Source organism: Homo sapiens, chromosome 2, assembly GCF_000001405.40.
Source record: "Homo sapiens chromosome 2, GRCh38.p14 Primary Assembly".
Lineage (NCBI taxonomy): Eukaryota > Metazoa > Chordata > Mammalia > Primates > Hominidae > Homo > Homo sapiens.
Genome location: NC_000002.12, coordinates 44,595,417 through 44,615,362, shown reverse-complemented (window position 1 = coordinate 44,615,362; position 19,946 = coordinate 44,595,417). Strand labels below are relative to the sequence as shown.

The 19,946-nt window shown below is 36.4% G+C and overlaps 1 protein-coding gene across 9 annotated transcripts in view, besides 1 other annotated feature; it reads right to left on the bottom strand.

The window, feature by feature from the left end:
• Window positions 1–19,946, bottom strand: part of CAMKMT (calmodulin-lysine N-methyltransferase) — a 410,646-nt gene that overhangs the window by 157,230 nt on the left and 233,470 nt on the right. The gene's annotated exons all lie outside the window — the stretch shown is intronic.
• Window positions 18,570–18,619: a silencer, noted in NCBI's record as "silent region_11432". NCBI's record gives its function as "represses an Ori minimal core promoter by ATAC-STARR-seq in GM12878 lymphoblastoid cells {active_cell/tissue: GM12878}" and the evidence as "EXISTENCE:reporter gene assay evidence [ECO:0000049][PMID:35858748]".

Genomic DNA, 19,946 nt, shown 5'->3' with positions numbered 1-19,946 from the left:
TATTGCTCTTCCCCGGCCCCAAATGGTTTCTCTGACTTTGGACTTACATCTTTCTAATTCATTCTCTATATACCAGCCAAATGCAAACCCCCTGATGTGAAAGTCATCTGGCATGTTAATGGAATAGCAAGGAAACCAGGCAGGGCATAGTAATTCAACCTGTAATCCCAATGCTTTGGGAGGCTGAGGTCGGGGGATCACTTGAGGCCAGAAGTTTGCCACCAGCCTGGGCAACATAGCAAGACCCTATCTCTAAAATAATTTTTAAAAATTAGCCGGGTGTGGGGTGCACCTGTAGTCCCAACTACTCAGGTGGCAGAGATGGCAGGATTGCTTGAGCCCAGGTGAGCTATGATGTCACCACTGCACTCTAGCCTGGGCAACAGAGCAAGACCCTGTCTCAAAAAAAAAAAAAAAAAAAAAAAAGCAAGGAGACCAAAGAGCTGGTTAGAGTGAATAAGGGTCAGTAGTAGCAGACTGGGTGGTGCACGGGACAGTAGTAGCAGACTGATGATGCAAAAGAAAAAGAAGCAAATTGCTGGTGTGTGTGAAGCATACTGAGACAAGACTCTGGAGGGGACACAGCTTTCTGCTTGGAACATCTTTCACTCTAGAGTCACAGGACTTGCTACCTCTTTGTGGCTTTCAGCATTTTATTCAAATGTCTCCTCAATGAGGCTTTTCTTGACCTCTGTATTTAAAATTGCAACTCATTTCTCTCAACTCCAGCAGATTTCATCCCCTTCCTTGCCTTGTTTTTCTCCAATGCACTTATCACCATCTGTTATACTCTATATTTTATTTATTTATGTTCTGCTTATCTTGCTCATAAGAGTATAGCCTTCATGAAGGCAGAGATTTTGGTCCGTTTTGCTCTCTGGTGTATCTCCAGCATCTTCCATGTGCCTGGAAAACAGGCACATTCAATAAATATGTGCCTTCGACAAATATGAAGAATGCAATGCAACTGTTCCCCAGTCACAGTATCATTACTGTTGGTTTACTTCTCCGTCATTCTCACCAGACAGGAACTGTATTTCAGTCAGTTTTGTGTTCCTTACACTTAACACAGTCCCTGGCACAGGGAAGACACTCAAGTTTCCATAAACCCATCTCTCTCTTCCCCTGTGAAACACTTACTGGTTCATGCTATCCTCTTTGCCCAAAATGCCCTCTCTTCTGTTTTTCACTTTCAATATCTAGTCCAAATACAACCTTTCAAAAGAAACTATGTGTGATCTTTTTTCTAAGAATTATTTTAATTGAAAAGGAGAAATGGGAGAAAGAAAAGCATTATAGGTTTTCTGGAAACAAATTATGTATAGCCCCTTCTACATTTGTATTTATCTATTTTATAGGGCTTTTCATATTCTGCCTTGAGTTATGCTTATGATTTCTGCCTTTAATTAATATTTGTCTTATCACTGTTATGGAATAACAGGTTTTTAAGACTGTTAGACATCATGTAATTGAACCTCTTCATTCCATAGAGACGGACGTGAAAACCAAGGGGATCACATGACTAGTGACAAATTAGAACTCCACGTGCTTCCTCCAATACTCTTTAAGGAGTCAGACTGGCTGATATGGACTTAATCTCCCTATGTCTAAGATTTCTCCTCTGTAAAAGAGAAAATAAACTCCTAAGGATATCATGAGGGTTAATGAGATGATATATGAGAAGTACTTAGAACAATGCTGCTAGTAAGTGCTCAGTAAATGTCAGCCGTTGGTATAATTATTACTACTGATTCATCTGTGAGCTCCTTGAGAGCAGGGGATGTGACTTATTCACCTTTTTATTTCCTGATGAGTTAAACACAGTGCTTTGCATATAGCCAAAGGTAATATTAAATATTAAATATTTTAACAACTGGCACAGCATACAGTCCTGACCAATCAGAATGATGTTGCCCTGGCACTAGATGAGGGTCCTGAAGTCCTGCTGCTGTGCTATTCATTTTCCTTTTATTTTCTGGGTCACAGGGAGATCTGGAGGTTTCTGGAGGAGGATCTAGGACTTCCAGAGCCTGAGAGGTGGGGTATGGCATTCAAGAAAGTGCCATTTCTCTACCAGTAAGGAAATATTTCAGTATTTTAACAACTGGTATCCTTGTTCTGCTGTATACCAGCTGACTGCTGCATATAGTAGACAGGCAAATGCTAATTACATAAATAAAAAACAAACATAAGAGTTAAAATTTTCTGTCAGTGACATTTCCATGTTACCAAAATAATGTCAAATACAGAAATCTTTTACTGCTCCCCAAAAGACTCATTGAAATCTCATGTAAATTTAAGAGAATACCATAGATTCCTATATTCTTCTACCCATTCATCTTTTCCTTTCACCATTACCCATATTGCCAGACAATGTATCTGGAAGAAATGTGTATGCAGACAACAGAAATTGTAGACTGGCAAAGACCTATTCAAGTCTAGAGAAAATCTTGACTTAGGCTTTAAAAGTCAATGACGTTAATGAGTGAGAGAGAAAAAGAGGAAGGAAAGGAGGGGGATTGAAAAGTAAGCTTAACAATAATTAAAATAGTCTTACTAGTTATCAGTTCAATGAGTTTTTATATCACTTTTGAGTCCCTGTTATAATTTAATAAACATGTTACTTAATAAACTCTGCATTTAAACTCCAGAATCAACCTTTCATCTGCATTTGGCCAATGTTGATTTTTTGGTGGGCTGGTCCAAATGCAAGTAAGCCATTTTCTATTCATGGACCTTTTAATGATAGGAACTAATAAAGTATTGTGCTGTATTTCCAAAGTTATATAACTACTAAATAAGTATTTAGTCCTAAGAATAGGGAAATATCCATAACTGTAATATTATTCAGAGTGAGAGGAAATTACTGCTACTGAAATTCCGTAATCACTACTTCCTCAAAGTTAACTCTCCTTTTTGCCTTTTCAAAGTGCTGCATTTAGTCAATAAATACACCATTTCTGACAACTAAAGCTATGGTGATGAGTGTGATGCTATCTTTATTGATTGGCAGGGAGATACTGAAAATTTTCTGGAAACCTTTAACTATTAGTAACACATGTTGACAGCTACTCCCCTTTAAGACAGCAATATATGCTGGTTATTCTATTGCCCGAATGATTATTCCCATAAATTAACTTTCTCTTTTGTTTACTATTATCAGGTTTTGATCATTCTAATGATAACGGCTTCCTGTTAGGTTTAAAACACAATTCCAGTGCATAAAAGTTAAGTAAAAGGCTTTTAAAATTTAAAATTACATATGGTAATTACATTTGACATCACATACATAGTTTATTAGAAAGTTACCCAGATGATATAGTTTGGATGTTTCCCCACTGAAATCTCATGTTGAGATCCACAATACTGGAGGTGGGGCCTGGTGGGAGGTGTTTGAATCATGGGGGCAGATCCCTCACAAATGGCGTGGACCATCTCTTTGGTGATAAGTGAGCTCTTGCTCTGAGTTCACACAAGAGCTGGTCATTTAAAAGTGTGTGGCACCTCCCCCAACCTCATTTGCTCCTGCTTTTGCCATGTGATGTGCCTGCTCCCCTTCACCTTCCACCATGATTGGAAGCTTCCTGAGGCCTCTCTAGAAGCCAAGCAGATGCCGGCACCATGCTTCCTGTAAAGCCTGCACAACCATGAGCCAATTAAACCTCTTTTCTTTATAAATTACCCACTCTTAGGTATTTCTTTATAGAAGTGCAAAAATGGCCTAATACACCATGCTTAAAGGGCTGAAGAAAATATTATTTAAACTCCCTTTTGTGGGTGTTCCAGAACACGAGTTCTTAAATTAAAACTGCTAGGAATAATGTGACTTACTTTGTAATTTCTTCATTTTTTCACTATTAATTGTAGTCAAAATTGTTCTGTATTCTCCTAAAAGTATCTGGGTAGATACTTTTTTTTTTTTTCTTTTGGGGACAAAGTCTTGCTCTTGTCCCCCAGTCTGGAGTGCAATGGCACGATCTCGGCTCACTGCCACCTCTGCCTCCCAGGTTCAAGTGATTCTCCTGCCTCACCCTCCCGAGTAGCTGGGATTACAGGTGTGTACCACCACACCCAGCTAATTTTTTGTATTTTAAGTAGAGATGGGGTTTCACCATGTTGGCCAGGTTGGTCTCCAACTCCTGACCTCGGGTGATCCACCCACCTCAGCCTCCCAAAGTGCTGGGATTACAGGCATGAGCCACCATGCCCAGCCCTGAGTAGATACTCTTTAAATGGACTCAGCCTAACCATAGAATATGCCTTCAGGAACATATTGGGAATAAGAAAACCCAATCTCAGATACTATCTTGAGACTATTATCCTCCCTGGACCACTCCTGCTTTTGCTCTGATAAGCCCTTCTCTATCTACTTCTCTTTATTCTGCCCACTAACACTGTTTCTTGGGCCCAATTTGTTAAATGTCTATAGCTTTAAGCCCTTCCATTCTCATGACTTGAGGGAGATTAGAAAGTTTGATTCTGTTTTATTCTTATATGTCAAAATTCTCAAAAATTGAGTCTATGGATCCGTTTTAAAGGGTCCATGAATCCCTGAAATATGTACAATATTCTGTATGTAAATATAAGTATTTTTCAGGAGAAGAGTTCTATATGTTTCATCAATTCTCTACAGACTCAACACAAAAAGTTTAAGAACTCTTATATATTTTTAACTTCATTTAAACAATGACACAATTGGGGCTTACTGCTGATACTTATTTTTACTTTGAGATATTTCATTTATTTTTGGCAAATATGTTGCAAATGTAGCTTGTCAGTTTAGTTGAAAGGGTTACATTATTTTGGTCATACTGACAGTTTTTGTCCATCGAAACTTTAGATTTTGATAATATTCTAGTATGAATCACAAATATGGAGGAAACTTAGAGGTTTTGGAGAGGGTCATCCATTCCACTTCACATGATAAAAGTGCCACCTCCCAAATAGGAGACACCCCAGACTTCTTCAGAAATCCTATTTGGTCCTTATTCTTCCCTTTATTCTGCTTCCTTAAGACTTTATCATCCCAAATTCTAATGCTTAATCTAATAGTATCTTTCATTTTTATTTAACTCTTTTAACCCTATATGCCTTTCTCTTCAACTATTAATAGACTATAAGCTCTCATGGAACCAAGAGACACTTTACACTTTTATTTCCTTTTTTCCTCAGAGACTTACACAATGCAGTTAAATAGATGCTCAATAAATCTCTTCTCAATGAACACATTTCTATATTCAGAAATGTAGCCTCTTCACTAATAATCAAGGTATATAATATAAACCTCCTTCCTTAGTGGGGAAAAAGAGGTCATTATGTTCTGTGACCTTTTTATTTTCTTGACAGTCAATGCCTTAGGCTAAGATGCCTTTGAAAGTCAACTAGGTATATTACAACTTTATACAGCAACTTTGTCATGAAAGTCTTACAGAGACTCTTGACAATGGTTTTCAACTGTTTTTCCACCCCAGCACATCTGAAAGATGTTTTGTAATTCCATCAGTAGCAGTGGGTCACTGCAACAGTAATCATCAATTCAGCAGGAGGCGTTAAGAGCCCTATGAGTGATTCCAATCCACCCTTCTGGAAATGAGCCATTTCTCCTCCATCCCTCCATAGCAAGCAGAAAAACACTAAATTAGAACAGTTATGAAGAGGAGAGAATGAGTTCATCAGAACAAAGTTTGTAATTTCAGAAATCAAATCCTATAAAATTGCAATGGTCAAGAAGCACTTAGTAATGAAGAATTTATGGCCACATTAGGAGTCACTTTTGAAGACTTTTACCCACAGGGATTAAAATGGCCTTTATATTCCTTGTAGCAGTCTATGCCACTCACATGTGGCATAACTTAATAAACTAAATTTTTTATTGATTAAGCTCCTATTTTTTCTGTTAAAAAGTGTTTTATTTAAAAATTGACAGACAATTGTGTATATACACCTATGGAATAGTTAGCTAATTAACAAACGGATTACCTCACATGGTTATCATTTTTGTGATAACAGCACTTAACATCCACTCTGCATTTTTCAAAAATACAATATATCACCATTAACTATGGTAACCACACTGTACAGTATGTCTCTTGAACTTATTCCTCCTATTTAACTGTAATTATGTGTTCTTTGACCAACATCTTCCCATTCTCCCTCCACATTAACCACCCCAGTCTCTGGCAATCGCCATTCTACCCTCTACTTCGGTGAGATCAACTTTCTTAGGACACGAGCTACAGTATATGTCTTTCAATTAATCTCTCTTTGAGGTCTAGGAACAAGTGGAAAAGCAATCTTTTCATGTGCAATCTTCTTTTAAAATACTGCAAAAGTGATTGACTGGTATGGCAAGAAAAAGGTAGATTTTGGATTGGACTTGAATAGAGATTTAAATTACTTGAATAGAAAAATGAAGACATGTTGAGATTTACATTCAAAGTAAAAACTGGAAAATAATCTTAAAATACTGAAACTAACAGCTTAGAGGCACCTATTAGCAATACCCACAAGGGAATATAATCAGCAAAATCCAGAATATGGGAATTTTACAGGACAAATGACCCTGTTTTCTTCAAAAATGACTGGTAAGAAAATAAAAGAGGGAGGAGGAGGAAACCTAAGTTTAAGGATTCAGGAGAAATATCAGCCAAATACAGTGGATTCTGATTGGATCCAGATTCAAACAAATTGTCAAAAAGAGAAAGAGAGAGAGATAATCAAGAGGGAGGAAAACTTAACTCTTTGAATATTTGATGGTATGAAGAAAATATATTTTATAATACATTATATAGTTTCAAATAGCTAGAAAGGGATACTGAATGTTCCCAACACAAGAAAACGATAAATGTTTGAGATGATGGATACGATAATACCTGATCTGATTACTATACATTACATGTATTGAAATGTCAATAGGTGCCCCATAAATAAGTACAATTATTATTTGTCAATTTTAAAAAAATAAAACTTAAAAGTACAAAAAAGGAAAATAGGCTGGGTGCGGTGGCTCATGCCTGTAATCCCAGCACTTTGGGAGGCCGAGGTGGGCTGATCACGAGGTCAGGAGATCGAGACCATCTTGGCTAACACGGTGAAACCCCGTCTCTACTAAAAATACAAAAAATTAGCCAGGCGCGGTGGTGGGTGCCTGTAGTCCCAGCTACTTGGGAGGCTGAGGCAGGAGAATGGCGTGAACCCGGGAGGCGGAGCTTGCAGTGAGCCGAGATGCTGCCACTGCACTCCAGCCTGGGCGACGGAGCAAGACTCCGTCTCAAAAAAAAAAAAAAAAAAAAGGAAAATATATTTTAAATATCTATTGGTATACAGTTTACATATGAAAGTATTTAAGGATAAAATTATACCTGGTATGTGATTTTACATAATCTAGTGGTGGGAGAAGGGTGGTGAATGGAGATATAAGTGGAATAAGATCAGTCATGCTAATGGGTATATTGGGTAATGGGTATATTGCTCTCACTATACTATTTTCTTTACTTTTTTGAATCGTTTACATTTCATAATAAAAAGTTTTTTAAAAATAAAGTAATGAGCATATATAACACTATAACTTGGAAAAAAGTAGAGGACAAAAAATCAGAATATATTCAAATTATAATTACATATGCAGAAATACAGACTTCATTTAAAAAGCCAATGAAGCACCTAATTGCATCAATTACACATTTCTGCACTTAAATCACTGTAACCAAGTGTTTACCTATTTTGGTTTTCATTATGGTACATAAAACACCATATTTCACTAAAAAACATATCAATAATTCATAGTATTTCCTAGTCTTTCAATATAGTATAGGTAGAATTGAAAATAAATAGAAAATATCTTTTTTTGAGTAAATCACTGGTGCTTTTATGTTCACTACTAGAAACCATAGTATATGCAAATGCGACACATGCAAGAGCAATTTAGTGTTCAGTTAAATAATAAACACTGGTACTGATAATTTAAAAAATACTTTTTAGACATTCATATACCAACCTTCCTTCCCCAAATTAGCTTCCTAAAGAGAAAAACAGAGATTTCTCTACCATTTCCACTGTGATAAACATTTTAATGTTATTGGAGATGATAGAAAACATGAGGAAAATGTTCTTAAGAGTTAGAATGATCTCATCAGCATTACTGGGGCATTCTGAATGTAATCAAAGAGGTAAATGGGAATAAAAAATATTCTTTGACAGATGAGCCTGCCCTGTCATGGGAATTTGCAGCCTGTCTGCACAGAATGCATTTCCTATTGTAGCAAAATGTTCCTTCTGATCATAAAGGAACTGCTACCAAAATAACTTCTTGAAACCATAGAATAGTGCAGTTAGAGGTGTTATGTGACAAATCACAATGTTGATTATGAGCTACTAATACTGACAAAACAATTCAGACTCTACCTAAGCAGCCTGAGCTTCAATGAAAGGTTCAAGACGGTCATGAAAATGGAAGGGCGGGTAGGGAATCACTGCATAGAACCAGCTGCAGTAAACTTTTAATGATAAACTATAGATAAACTGAACTCTCACAGTAATCTTGGTGGGGGGGGGGTCACATTAAGAAATTTCTAAGTCATTTATTCTACTTTTATAAAATAACTCAAATTCTATAGCAGGCACTTTGTTTATATTCTGAAAGGGTAGAACATTGAATTGGATGACTTTTTAAGTTTGGGGATTCACCTTTGCTAAGGTAAGAACATGATAAAAACAAACAACAAAAAATATCTATTATCACTACCATTTCAAAAATGATATTTAAATAATAAAAAGCTGGATATATTTAGTTTTCTAATAAGCTCACCATATCATCTTCTTTTTCCTCATTTCACTACTGATAGGCTAAAATGCTGTCACAGACTCCTTGTCATAGGCTAGTACCAGTCTGTGGATCTGGTGTTTGAATGCCATCACTCCAGCCTCTTCCAACATTGAGTGGGAATCATAAGGTCTAAAAGACCTTTGACTCTCTAAATGTTAGATTGACTAGGTTATTTAAATGGAAAAAGATATTTGTCATTTTGAGAGGTAATCGTTTCAGCCAATCCATTTCTCTGAATGATCATATATTATCACTTAATTTCCTCATGAGCTGTTTTCTTTTCCAAACAAAATAGGTATTTCAGATACATAGTTTATGACAGCAATGGGGATCACTTTTGGCTAATACTTTAGTGGCTATTTTAGAAGTCCAGATTGGGGAAAGTAGTAGACAGCTGATTTTGTAAAAGAAACATGCTTGAAAACATAGCCACAAACACTCACAAAACACAAAAACATTTAACTGACGTTCCTGGAGTAGTTCATTTTGAACAATACTCAGGAATTATTAGGTGCAGGCTCAAATTATTCAAATGGTTCATGAACTATATAGAATTCTTACTTTCTTTAGTATTTTTCTGATTGAAAGGAAATTTTGCCTATAGATTATTATAATTCTATCAATAGAATTTGGAGCTTTTAAAATATTTTAAAGAAGCTCTATGTATGAGTGGTTTTTTTCCTTCTATGCCAACATAATAATTTCTTAGGAATCTCTACATGCAAGACTCTAATCTGTATTCCCTCAGCACTCACTCTCAAAGGAATTAGGACAAGCAAGATATGTGATCATCAACAAAGAAACTGAAATCTAAGGAGTTCGCAATCACTGCCCATGAGACTTTGACAAGTCATTTTCTTGTTCTGTGTCTTAGTTTCCTTGAGGTATTGAAATAAATGACCTCCAAGGCTCTTTCAGTTCTTTTTGATTCTTAAAAATAAAAAATGTTGTCCCCAAACACTTAGGAAACTACACTTTTTCAATGATATACAAACTCTGAGTTATTCTCATTACTTTATGTATGTGTGATGATATACCTGTGTGTATATGAACGTGTATATGGGTAGACATATTATGCAGTGTGATTCCATCTGCCAAAATCACCAATTTTGATTGTAGATAACTTGTTTACAAAACAAAACTCACCCTCAAGAAAGACATGCCACCACCAAGTATGTTCAAAAAAATGTGCTACAGTTTGTAAAGGCCATAACAAAAACATACTTTGAGCAACAGCAGCACAGTTGAGCTAAGATAAAAAATGTGAAGAGGGCAACACTCATCTGTATGGATAAGTGCCACTATATAATAATAATTTCTCAACCTTGATTTCCCCTTAAGTGAAATTCACTTTTATTTACGGCTTCTTCATCCTCAAGAGTTTTTGTCTCCCTATTACACAAATAATTAAGAAAAAGAGCAGGGAAATAAAGGAGAAGAGAACAGAATTATTACCATGAATTTTTGGAAGACAGACAGAAGGTGAGAAAAAGTATATGAGGGCCTTGTAATTGCATGTCCTCAACTTTTTATCTCAGTTCATCAGGGACTGATGGCACTCCATTTGGAACTAAGGGAAAATAACACGTTGAAATAGGCAGAAAGAAATACTTGTTCAGGTTGGTTAACGAAAGTGAGCCACAAACAGCCTATTTGTTCAGTTTTCTTTGACTCTGAGACCATAGTGGGAATCAGATAATGGAAGTCAACAACTCTGTGTCATAAAATTTCCTGGAGGACTGACAATTACATTCAGGAAAAAAGCAAAAACCTTTAGTATAAGCACCCTCAGCAACAAGGCAACCTGAACTTCTAAGCATAGAGTGGAAATCAAGGAAGATGGAGATCCTGAAAGTTTACAGTGAAAAAATAGTAAATGTATATTAATGGTTCAGAATCTCATTGTAACTATTTTACTATGTGTATTTAGGGTGCCCAAATTGATATTTTACTTTAAAAATGTTAAAAAAAAAAAAAAAACCAGATTGGCTTTCATAGGTTTGCTTATACCCACAACCCTCCCTTAACTATTTCCTCCAATATGTTGAAAATCTTCCGACTCTGAATTACCCTACTACATGGGGTTTTCAGATAAGGGTTTCTGAATTTGTTTGAGAAAATTGGTTGTTTCCCTTCTAGTCACACCTTGTATGATAAAGGATGGTCAGAAATTAAAATATGGTAGTGAAACAAGCACTTTGGCAATCTTAGTTATGAACTCAGTAGGGAAATATTTAGCAGATAGTCTTGTGTTTATAGTAAACAAACAAGAAAAGTAATTTCTAGCCATACATACAAAATAAAACAGATTTTAAGAAAATGATTACTAAATCTGTATTCCTTTCCTTGATCTAATTCTAAATTGTACCTCTAATTCAAGGGCCATATCAAGGCCCACCTCTTTAACAAAACCCCTCATCTAGAGGACTTTAACTCAGAGCTTCTCTTAAATTCAGTGATAAACACTAAACAATTATTTACTGAATACTTATTAGATGTCAAGTAATTAACATAGCCTGTCCTGTGAGAAGAGGAGAAAGAGGTAAGCAATTTGACAACTGTACCAGGTCTTATAATTCAGTTTGACCATCTTATTAGTGTTGGTGTTATCTACACAACTAGATTATAAATTCCTGAAGAACAGTCAATATCTTGTATTTCTTTCTCTTGTATCCTTCTCAATACCTAGCCAAGAGATACTCAATATATTCATTAAAATGAATCCAGCCAGCATCTCAAAAAATTACTGACTTTGAATTGAAAGAATGCAAATAGAATCTGGGGCAGGGGAATACATTTTAAATAATTAAAGAGGGCAATTTGACTATGTGTATGTATACCTTTTTATTAAGTAACTCCAATTCCAGGAATTTATCAAGTGAGACCATCTTTCTCCATCCAGCCTTGGTGGAATGGCCAGATGACTATTATTGCATGAAAAACTCTAGTGAAGTAAGCAGAAAAATCACTCAGCTGACCTTAGCCTATGTTGCTGACCCACAGAATCAAAAGCAAATAAAGTATTTGTTTGTTTTCAGCCACTAAATTTTGGGGTATTTTGTTGTGTGGCAATATATAGCTGATCCAGTTATATTAATAAATATGTATAATTAATAAATGTAAAAGAATCCTTTAAAATATAGGTTGGGGGTCCAGTTGGTGGCTCATGCCTGTAATCTCAGCACTTTGGGAGGCCAAGGTGGGTGGATCACTTGAGGCCAGGAGTTCAAGACCAGCCTGGCCAACATGGTGAAACCCTGTCTCTACTAAAAAAATACAAAATATTAGCCAGGTGTGGTGGCACATGTCGTAATCCCAGCTACTCAGGAGGCTGAGGCACGAGAATTGCTTGAAGCCAGGAGGCAGAGGCTGCAGTGAGCCAAGATCATGCTGCTGCACTCCAGCCTGGGTGACAAAGCAAGTCTCTGTCTCAAAAAACAAAGATATATATAAACACATATATATATGTGTGTGTATCTATATATGTGTGTGTGTGTGTATATATAGGTTGGGTACATAAGCACATACTGAACTCTGGTTAATGATGCTTAAATACTTGGGTGAGAGGAATATACTAATGACTACCACTTACTTGGCAATACACAAAAAATAATGGAGAGATAGCTAGTTTGACTGGTATGTGATAAAACAGGTGATACGATTTGTCTCTGTGTCCCCACCCAAATCTCATGTCGAATTGTAATCCCCAGGTGTCAGGGGAGGGACCTGGTGGGAGGTCACTGGATCGTGGATGCGAATTTTCCTCATGCTATTCTCATGTTTGTGAGGGAGTTCTCATGAGATCTGATAGTTTAAAGTGTGGCACTTCCTCCCTTGTTCTCTCTCTCTCCAGCTCTGCCGTAGTAAGACGTGCTTGCTTCCCCTTCACTTTCCGCCATGATTGTAAGTTTCCTGAAGCCTCCCAGTCATACTTCCTGTTAAGCTTGTGGAACTGTGAGTCAATTAAATCTCTTTTCTTCATAAATTACCCAGTCTCAGGTAGTTCTTTAGAGCAGTGTGAGAACAGACTAATAGCAAGTATAATAAGATGTTAGTTGTAAAATCTAAATGGTGGATATATGTGTGTTTACTATAAAATTATTTTAACATTTTTGTTGTTCTCTTAATAAAAATGTTGGAAAACAGGTTGAGTAAATTATGGTGCATTCACACTATAGAATACTAGGTAGTCATTAAAAATAATAGGTGGAGGAATGTTTATTATCAAAATTGGCTAATAAATTTTCTAAAAGCAGGGCCAGGCATGGTGGCTCATGCTTCTAATACCAGCACTTTGGGAGCTAGAGCTCAGGAGTTCGAGACTGGGCAACATGGTGAAACCCCATCTCTACAAAAAACACAAAAATCAGCCAGGTGTGGGGGTGTGCACCTGTAGTCCCAGCTACTAGAGAGGCTGAGGTGGGAGGATCGCTTGAGCCTGAAAGGTGGAGGTTGCAGTGAACTGAGATGGCACCACTACACTCCAGCCTGGGTGACAGAGTGAGACCCTGTCTCAAATAAATAAATAAATAAATATATTTTTAAAAAGCAGACTACAATATAGCATATGCAATATGGTATCATTTTTGTAAAACACAACTTAAAAAGTACAGATATAGAGAAAAAACAATCAAAGGACATATGTTAAGCTATTACCTCTAGACATGGAATCATGATTACTTTTCCTTTTAGCTTTGTGTTTTCCAAACTGTCCTTCTTAGTAGGAAAAATTAAAAAGTAATTAAGAGAATTGAGAGGAAATGTTTAATATTAAGTTTAAATCTTCTGGTTTTAAAAATAACTTAAAAAAACAAAGGTATTCAATGTCTTAGAGCAAGAAAAAAATAAAATAATGAATGGAATTTAGAGAATAGTAAGAAAGAGTTTATTTACCTATATGGAATTATTTGATAACAAAAGTCACTACATGTGAGAACAGAGGCTATAGCTTTCCTCTTACCAGAAACATAGTATCTCCAAGAAAATAAATTATACTAGCGACCTCTTTAGGTTTCTTCCAATTTTATGATTTTTTAAAATTTTGTTATTTATTATTTATTTATTAATTATCATTATTTTTTTGAGACAGAGTTTCACTCTTGTTGCCCAGGCTGGAGTGCAATGGCGCAATCTTGGCTCACCGCAACCTCCGCCTCCAGGGTTCAAGCAATTCTCCTGCCTCAGCCTCCCGAGTAGCTGGAATTAGAGGCATGTACCACCATGCCTGGCTAATTTTGTATTTTTAGTAGAGATGGGGTTTCTCCATGTTGGTCAGGCTGGTCTCAAACTCCTCACCTCAGGTGATCTGCCCATCTTGGCCTCCCAAAGTGCTGGGATTACAGGCGTGAGCCACCATATGACTTTTTCTAAAAGAGTAATGGCATACCTTTATATATATTAAGTAAAACATCTGGCTATATTTTGGTACTTTTTAACTGATATTGGTTATATTATATGTATCAACTAAAAAGTATCAAAATATAGCTAGATGTTATACTTAATTTGGAGATGAATATTATTCCCTCCCTAAATTTAGGATATGACAGAAACCTGGTAATTAGAAGAAGAAAAGACAATATCAAAGAAGCCTCATTGTCTTGACACACTCTAATGTACAGTTATCAAAATTGTTAGCCACATCTTACATAAATTCCCGAGTCTACTCAACATTGTACTATAATTGTAGTAGTTTTAATCTCCATCTGATAGAAAAGAAAGGGAAAACATTTTCTAAAAGTCACCATAAAACTCTCTAAAGAAATTTTAAACATTAATTTTGATACCAAAAAACTATAGGAATAACAAACCAATTTCATCTAACAACCTAGGAACAGTTTGTGTGCACAGACACATATGCGTGTGTGTCTGTATCTGTATATGTTAACTGAACAACCTTGCCCAAGTTGAGGTACCTAAATATGAAAGTGCAAAACATTTACAGAGAAAAGGTTTCTGTCAAAAACTTGATCTTGGCCAGGCACCATGGCTTACATCTGTAATCCCAGTGCTTGGGAGGCTGAGGTCGAAGGATGGCTTGAGCCCAGGAGTTTGAAACCAGCCTTAGCAACATGGCAAAACCCTGTCTCTCTACCAAAAATACAAAAATTAGCTGGGTGTGCTGGTGTGCACCTGTAGTCCCAGCTACTCGGAAGGCTGAGGTGGGAGGATCACCTGAGCCCAGGAGTTTGAGGGTGTAGTGAGCTATGATGGTGCCACTGGACTCCAGACTGGGCAACAGAGCGACACTCTGTCACAAAAATCAAAAATAAAAAAAAAAATCTTGGTCTCATGATAGTGGTGGTATGTAATGGAATGGTGAAGCTGAGGAGAATCTCTTTTATCATCTGTTATTATGAGCAGAGTTTTAAACTCTGAATCTGAAAAAAAGATCAATATCTTTTCCCATTTCAATTCAATGATAAATGTAAATTTCAGAATACAGAAATAACTAACAGCCTTTCTAAGAAAATTATTCAACCAACATGGGTTTTTATGAAGTAAAGATAGGTTAGAATGAGAACATTGGAAAGTTTCCACAACTTTTATTCATAAACTGCAAAATAAAGTACTTTAAAATCATTAGTTATTCAAAGTCCATAGAGTACCAAATCGTTTTGAAGAAAAATTCATAAAAATTCCCACATTGGAATGAATTGCTTCCTAGTTTCTTAAAGCAAACAACAAGAGAAACATACACTTTTTTTTTTTTTTTAAACCTTGCCAAGGTGTCAACTCCACTGTTAACATAAAATCCTCTCAGAAATAGCCCAATCCAGGCTTGGTTATTAGACTAAACATGTTAGAACCCAGATTAGAAAATAATAGCTAAAAATGTTTGTGGAATCTAAGCCCTAAGTTCCCATTTCTGAGACTCTTAATGATTATGTTTGAGGTTCTTTTTTTAAAAAGCTGTGGTTTCTTTTATTTAAGAAAAATTTACATAGATTGATCTTTAAATTTAAAAAAATGCTTCTGACAAATTACTTTTCATTCTCACAGAAGATAATGGCCCTATCAAACAAAATAATAACAGGGCATGTATTAAATGGGCTCTAAAGGAAAACGATATTGATGTATCTACATTTTTTCCAGCTCATTCATTGAAAGGATTAGCTGTAACCAGTGCAGTAGCTATAAAATGTTGACAGAGGTTGGTTCCTAAGAACTGCCAGATGGTCAGAAGAAAATATTGTACAATAGTGTTACTGGAGCCCTTCAGGCAAAGACAGATATAATCTAGTTTTGAAAGCTGCCAGGTATTATGAAGTGTCACTTTCTATTTATAAATAAACTATGAGTTATGGTCACAGTATTTGAGAAATGGAAAACAGAAATTTCTAACAAAGTTCTAAGGCTTCTCATACCTAGGCAATTCACATTAGGTTTAAATGTTTTTCCCATTCCATCTTACATGTTAAAGCTAATTGTTTAATAAATAATGATCAGGAACTTACATGTGTCAACATCCACAGAAAATATAGGATTTTACTCTCTACCTTGCTAAAAGATTTATAATTGGTCAAAGTTTTAAAGACATACGAAATAGGTGAGCCCTGCACAGACAAAAATGCTATGCTTTTCTTAGGTAATTACAGCTTTTTACCGACACGTGTGATTACTCAATCTAATCATGCAATTCCAGTTAGCAACTTGTAAATATGAGGTTTGGTATATGTACTGAACACCTGTGATGGTATATAGCCTTTTTGAACTTCACATTGTGAAACCATGACTTTATTTATTCCTTCTTTTCATTTTCTTATATCGCCTCACAACCACCTCCCCACCCAGAGCCTTTAACAAGTAAGTTGCTAAGACAAGACCCAAAGGACTTCTGATTTTAAAGGTCCTAAGCTTGCTGCAAATTAGGTTCTTCTGAGCTAAGATTTCATTATAGTATATAAGTTTCTCCTTTAATCATTGTATTTCTACTTTGTGCTAACATTCTAAGTAGGTTTCATAGACTAAAAGTGCTGTATGATTAAGTCATACTTGTCAGGCTGTTCATTAGTGACTCATTGAAGAGGACAATGCTAATTCCAGCAGGAAGTAATGGAAAGTAAAAAAAATGCACAGTGTATATATCTTAATGTTGAATAAAGCCTTTCAACCAATTCCACGAGAAAACTGGAACTTCATTTCTTTTCTCCCATATTCCTTCATAATCTATTTTTGCATAACTTGGTTTTTGTGACTAAAATCTAAATTTTCATTAAAAATTAACAGAAGGAAGGCAGAGGTTCTTAGGATTCATAGAAAGAATTCAGGGGGTCCATGAACTTGCAAGGAAAAAATATTCTTATTTTTACTAAACTAACCAAATTTAGCATTTCCTTATATTACAAGTGTAGGCTATGAACAGTAATATTTTCATCTAACATTATAATTTTTGTCATTGTTTGTTTGGAAATGATATTTAGTAGCTCATTCTTAATGAAAAATTATAATCATTATTAGAGCTACAACTAGATCTTATTATTTTATGGCATTAATAAGGAAGCATAGGCTGGGTGCGGTGGCTCACACCTGTAATCCCAGCAATTTGGGAGGCCGAGGCAGGTGGATCAAAAGGTCAGGAGTTCGAGACCAGCCTGACCAACATGGTGAAACCCCGTCTCTACTAAAAACACAAAAATTAGCCCAGGGTGGTGGTGCATGCCTGTAATCCCAGCTACTCAGGAGGCTGAGGCAGGAGAATCGCTTGAACCAGGGAGGTGAAGGTTGCAGTGAGCTGAGATCGCACCACTGCACTCCAGCCCAGGTGAAGAGCAAGACTCCATCTCAAAACAGACAAACAAACAAACAAACAAAAAATAATAAGGAAGCATATATGTTACTATACCACAATTGTATTTTAAACATATTTTGATAACTGTATTTCAATGTAATTGCTTTTTGGATTTTATTTAACACACTTGTAACATTATTTTGAGAAGGGATCCATAAGCAGAATCACAAGATACCAAAGGGGCTCATGACACAGCAAGGGTTAAGAACCTCTGAGCTAAAGGGATTATAATATGCATACTTACACACCATCTACCACATTTTCACTGGAATGTAAATTAGGATTGACAAAGAGTTCAGAATGTGACATGCTCCCTGTGTAAGTTGGTATATCACTGGCTGATGTTATTATTAATTGTGGATTCACTGGAAATAATTATGGACAGATTTCTTAAATGATTCTATATTTAGTAAACCAAAATGGAAGTATGGAGGTAGCTAAGGGAAATTCATTATTCACAAATTAATCCATCTGCCAAGGACGGAACTTAGTTATATAGAGAGTTAACTAGTCTATGTGGAAGTTGGACCTGTATAAAAGCAGTCATATCACAGTTTATCAAATCTTTTGTGGCTACATCAACCCAACAACCATCATGCACTTAGGGGATTGCCACTACTGACACCCCCAGACAGAAAGCTGTCCCCAAGAAGACAACATGACGAACTTGAAACTACACTGCATAATCAACTTCTAGGGTGACTTTATCAAAGCAAATTTTGCAATTATTGAAAAGGATTTTAATCATTCCAAAATTTAACAGCTAAGATCTAATTAGTAACATGGAATAACTCATTTTCCTTATAAAAAGATCGTTTTTCTCTAAGTTTTGATTTCATGAAGGTTGAAGCAAATGTTCAATTTTCTGTTGGCAATGAAAATAGAAAGGAATCTATTATATATGCATAATTTTAATGACTGAGTAAACCTTAGAATTTTTATAACCAGTAGTCTCCTGACAGAGTTTTTTGCCTGGGATTTTCTCGGGGTGAGATTTCCACGGTTCACTGGTGTAGGTCTGTGATGATGCAAGCACAATTCAAAGTTGAAACTGAGAAACTGATCATGACCTCATTGTCTCTTGAGAGATGCCACTGCCTTGGCTGCTTGATGAATTGGACTGGACTTTAAGAGATTACATTTGATCAAATCAGTGGTTCTAAAATGTGTGTACTACAGAATCAGATGGGGGGCTTGTTAGAGATTTCTGGATTCATCCACAGACTGGGTTTCAGTAGGTCTGTGATGGATGTAAGAATTTGTCTTTTTCTTTCTTTTCTTTTTTTTCTTTTTTCTTTTTTTGAGACAGAGTCTCGCTCTGTTACCCAGCCTGGAGTGCAGTGGCACATGTTTAGTTCATTGCAACCTCCGCCTCCAGGGTTTAAGCAATTCTCCCATCTCAGCCTCCCAAGTAGCTGGGACTACAGGCACATACCACCACGCCAGCTAATTTTTGTATTTTTTGGTAGAGACAGGGTTTCACCATGTTGGCCAGGCTGGTCTCGAACTCCTGACCTGAAGTGATCCACCTACCTCGTCCTCCCAAAGTGCTTGGATTACAGGTGTGAGCCACTGTGTCCAGCCAAGAATTCGTCTTTTTCTTTCTTTTTTTTTTTTTAAATTATAAGTTCTGGGGTACATGTGCAGAACATGCAGGTTTGTTACATAGGTATATACGTGCCATGGTGGTTTGCTGCACCCATCAACCCATCATCTACATTAGGTATTTCTCCTAATGCTACTCCTCCCCCAGTCCCCCACCTCCCATCAGGCCCCAGTGTGTGATGCCCCCCCAGCCCCATGTTCATGTGTTCTCATTGTTCAGCTCCCACTTACGAGTGAGAACATGCAGTGTTTGGTTTTCTCTTCTTGTGTTAGTTTGCTGAGAATGATGGTTTCCAGCTTCATCCATGTCCCTGCAAAGGACATGAATTCATCCTTTTTTACAGCTGCATACTATTCCATGGTGTATATGTGCCACATTTCATTTATCCAGTCTATGATTCATGGGCATTTAGGTTGGTTCCAAGTCTTTGCTATTGTGAACAGTGCCGCAATAAACATACATGTGCATGTGTCTTTATAGTAGTTTTTTAAACTTTAAAGTAGCTTTTTCCAATTCTGTGAAGAAAGTCAATGGTAGCTTCATGGGGATAGCACTGAATCTATAAATTACTTTGGGCAGTATGGTCATTTTCACAATATTGATTCTTCCTATCCATGAGCATGCAATGTTTTTCCATTTGTTTGTGTCCTCTTTTATTTCCTTGAGCAGTGGTTTGTAGCTCTCCTTGAAGAGGTCCTTATAAGTTGTATTCCTAGGTATTTTATTCT